The 3,808-nt window shown below is 47.7% G+C and overlaps 4 annotated features.

The window, feature by feature from the left end:
• Positions 1,704–2,335: an enhancer, noted in NCBI's record as "H3K27ac-H3K4me1 hESC enhancer chr20:6677655-6678286 (GRCh37/hg19 assembly coordinates)". NCBI's record gives its function as "activates a minimal SCP1, AML or CMV promoter by ChIP-STARR-seq in primed H9 embryonic stem cells {active_cell/tissue: H9 hESC(primed)}" and the evidence as "EXISTENCE:reporter gene assay evidence [ECO:0000049][PMID:30033119]".
• Positions 1,704–3,470: a biological region, named in NCBI's record as "P300/CBP strongly-dependent group 1 enhancer GRCh37_chr20:6678222-6679421".
• Positions 2,271–3,470: an enhancer, noted in NCBI's record as "P300/CBP strongly-dependent group 1 enhancer chr20:6678222-6679421 (GRCh37/hg19 assembly coordinates)". NCBI's record gives its function as "activates an origin of replication core promoter dependent on BRD2, BRD4, P300/CBP, MED14 and CDK7 cofactors, with strong dependence on P300/CBP, by STARR-seq in HCT116 cells {active_cell/tissue: HCT116}" and the evidence as "EXISTENCE:reporter gene assay evidence [ECO:0000049][PMID:35650434]".
• Positions 2,336–2,966: an enhancer, noted in NCBI's record as "H3K27ac-H3K4me1 hESC enhancer chr20:6678287-6678917 (GRCh37/hg19 assembly coordinates)". NCBI's record gives its function as "activates a minimal SCP1, AML or CMV promoter by ChIP-STARR-seq in primed H9 embryonic stem cells {active_cell/tissue: H9 hESC(primed)}" and the evidence as "EXISTENCE:reporter gene assay evidence [ECO:0000049][PMID:30033119]".

Consider the following 3,808-nt stretch of genomic DNA (forward strand, 5'->3'; position numbering starts at 1 on the left):
AAAGCAAGTGTGAGGCAAGAATTTGGATGCAGGCAGTTTTTTGAGAGGTAATTCTGGGGAGAACAGTGGGGGAAGTAAGGGGAGAAAGGGAAGGAAGGAAGGCCACATGAATGGATGAGTGGTTACCCTTATGAGCAACTGAGGCTTAATCCCACCATGGACCCTCTAAGACAGTGGTCATCAGCTTTTTTGGCATCAGGGACCAGTTTCATGGAAGACAGTTTTTCCACGGACTGGGGTGGTGGGGGATGGTTTGGAGGTGATTCAAGTGCATTATGTTTATTGTACACGTTATTTATATTATGATTACATTGTAATATATAATGAAATAATTATACAACTCACCATAATGTAGAATCAGTGGGAGCCCTGAGCTTGTTTTCCTGCAGCTAGACCATCTCATCTGGGGGTGATGGGAGACAGTGACAGATCATCAGGGATTAGATTCTCATAAGGAGCACACAGTCTAGATCCCTCCTATGAGCACTTCACAGTAGGGTTTGCACTCCTATGAGAGTCTAATGCCCTGGCTGATCTGACAGGAGGCAGAACTTAGGCAGTAATGGGATCGATGGGGAATGGCTTAAATACAGATGCAGCTTCACTCACTCACCTTCTACTGTGCAGCCTGGTTCCTAACAGACCATAGACTGGTATCAGTCTGTGGCCCAGGGGTTGGGGAGCCCAGTTCTAAGAGACTGTGTGGAACATGCTCAGAGCTGTCCCAGTGAGGGGCAAAGAACTTGCGGTATTCCTGCCATGTTAATTTCCATACCTCAGAAGTTACGTGTTGCTCCTAGGGCACCAATGCCTTGGCACATGGGTCAAGCACAGTCCTGTGGCCAGAGAGCAACCTCAGGCAGAGAGACACAGGAGACCATCTGTGTGTTGAGAACTACTGCAGATGACCTCAGGTGACCCAAAAGGGTATGATGGGCCCTGCTAGCTGGAATACTCAGAGATGTGGGTAGATAACCCACATACGGACATGTGTTTGTTCACTGGACATTCGTTTTTCAACTGTTCCTTTTATAGTACAATGATTGTAAAAATGTCAGCTGTCTTGCCTTTGAAAGGAGAGTTAAATAGCAAAAGAATAATCCAGAAGGCTGGGTGTCCAACCGCATTCCAGGCCCAGAATCATTATTTTGTGTCGTTTACATAAATTCTCAGTTATGAATGATTCCATTTTAGGACATGAATAGGCTGAACTTCTACTGCATATACAAGTTTTTCCAGCCTTTTCCATCTCCCTGAATTAGTTCATTGTGAAATAGGTTGCCTGATGGCTGAAAAAGACAAAAAACTTCAAGAGTTTTGGCACTCCTCAAGTCTTCCATGCCGCCTCTGTTTGTTGTATAGTATTAGTGAATCGCAATGTGGCACACACCGATCATCCTAAAAATATGTCCAGAAAAGTTGCATAGATTGTGTGTGGCCCTGTGTGTGTGTGTGTGTGTGTGTGTGTGTGTGCATATGTATGTGTATGTTTATACATCTAGCTTCTTCCCCCATTCTCCCACCAACACTGTTTGGGTAGCCAGCCCCCCATCCTCTCTAAAGCCCCCATGCCCTGCAGTAAACACTGAGGCCAGGGCTGTGTGGCAGGACTCCCAGCCAAGCAATAGTAACTCCTGCTGCTGCCTTGAGTAACCAGGAATTCTCCATGTCTCATGAGTCCTGCTCATTGGGCTGACAAATGGTGACTGAGAAATACTCGCCTTTTGTGGTGTCCTTTGTTGTTTCATGTGTAATATGCCCTAAGCATTTTATGTCCAAAGAGAGAAAAGAAGAGAAGAGGGAAATTAATTCCAATTTCAGCAAGGTGTGAGGCAAAGAGTATCATCTGGGGGAGAATGAAGAACTATGACTATTCAAGTGGCAATGTCTTATGGTTAATTAAGTCTGGTGTTCCGTTTTAGAGGTGAAAACTGAGACCAAGGGAACTGAAGTGGCTTGGTCAAAGCCACGTGGACTCTTGGGCTCTGGACCCTGTCTCCTGGCTCTCTCTTTTGCAACAGGACGCTTGTGTTCCCTCTCTGGTCTTGCCAGCAGACACTCCCTCTGCTAGCCTAGAGAAGTTATTTCACATGCTGGTCGTTCTCCATGTGTCCCCCCAGATGCATCCTCTGCCCTTCTTTGTCCTGCTCTGTGCCCAGGAGGCTGACCCTTGGGACCCACTTCCTGTGCCTCCTAGCTTCCGTGATGTGAGAGAGAAGTTGGAGTGTTTGTCTCCACATTCCTTCGGGTCAGTTCTGGTGTTGACAGTGATCACACCTTCGCTAATGGCCATGACCCCAGTCAGTGGCCTCCCTCCCGTGGCCGCAGCTCTTTCTGGGTTCTGCTGGCATTGACCCTTCCCCTCTGCTCTAAGCCTGGGGATGGTACAGGCTCCCGCTGTTGCTAGCCCCTGGTGGCTTAGCCCCCTGTTGCTTCGCTTCATCCTGTCCACACCTCTGCATGCAGTCACTTCTCTAGAGTCTTTTCCGTTCAGCATCTGAGTGGACTGGGAACTTCCTGCCAGGCCAGAAGGATATGCTGAAGGGTTTCTTCCTTTGACAAATGGGGATAACAACAGTCTACTCGTGGTTTTAGTGAGGATCAAATAGGGTCATGTGTGCAAATGTGCTGTGTCTGTCTGGCCCAGATGAAGGTTTGTCTTCACCAGGGATCATATAAGGATTTTCGGCCAATCATAGCTTATGCCTTAACTAGTTTCTACGTTGGCATATTGCAGGGGCACCCCAACCACCCCTCGCTATTTCTCAGGTCAGCCAAATTGATACCATGTAGCAGAGCCTTGCAGTTTTCACTTTGAAGGCTGTGAAATTGTGGACTCATCCCTTGATCTGGAAGCAAAACTGGGAGACGTCACACATTCCAGCTTCATACCTCAGGCAGCTGCCAGCATTGATCTGCGAGGAGGGCCCTGCCTCTTCTGTCTCCACCTGTTACTTGAAAGCCAGAGAAGAGTGACTCATCAGCGGCCTAATGCAGCAAAGAAGACAAATAAGTCTCAGCAGGTAGGGTGTCCCCAACCATGCTCCACTCAGAGTTCTGAGCAGCAGGGTCAGCCTAGGGAAAAAGGCAAGTGGGAAAAGTCTACTCCAAGGGCCTCGTGCCCCACCCCGCTCTGCCAGTCTCTGCACTCCGACATGTAGCTCCCCCCATCCGCACTCTCACCTGCCCCATCTCCAGAATACTAATCCTCAATCCTCTAAGGACTTAACCAAAGAACATCCCACATCCTTTTAATGACAGCCTATTAAACTTGGTAAAATTCTGATAACATGTGTGAGTGCCTAAAACATGCTGGTACTATCTCAGATGCAGGAAAGACAAAAATGATCGAGACATGTTGTCATTTCATCTCTGCCAACAAATACCATTGTGATTATCTGTGAAATTAACTGATTACTTAAAATAAGCATTCCAAACAACCTGCTGATCAGAGGGGGCCCTGGTAGTTGGCTCTAGCTGTGCTTTGTTAGTGGTTGAGAGTATGGAATTTGGAGCCAGTCTTCTCTGCATTTAAACTTCAGCTCTACCAGGTACATGCTCCATGACAGGAAGGAAGTAACAACTGCTCTGTCTGGAGAGTTGTGCTGGAGCCAACTCAAAAAAGCTGATTTTGCACATCTCTCCCAACTCTGTGTTCACCAGCATCACATTGGTAGTTTAAAATCTATGACGGGCCGGGCACGGTGGCTCATGCCTGGAATTCTAGCACTCTGGGAAGCCAAGGCAGGCAGATCACTTGAGGTCAGGAGTTCCAGACCAACTTGACCAACATGGCAAAACCCTGTCT

The sequence above is a fragment of the Homo sapiens genome, chromosome 20 (assembly GCF_000001405.40).
Source record: "Homo sapiens chromosome 20, GRCh38.p14 Primary Assembly".
NCBI classification, from domain to species: domain Eukaryota; kingdom Metazoa; phylum Chordata; class Mammalia; order Primates; family Hominidae; genus Homo; species Homo sapiens.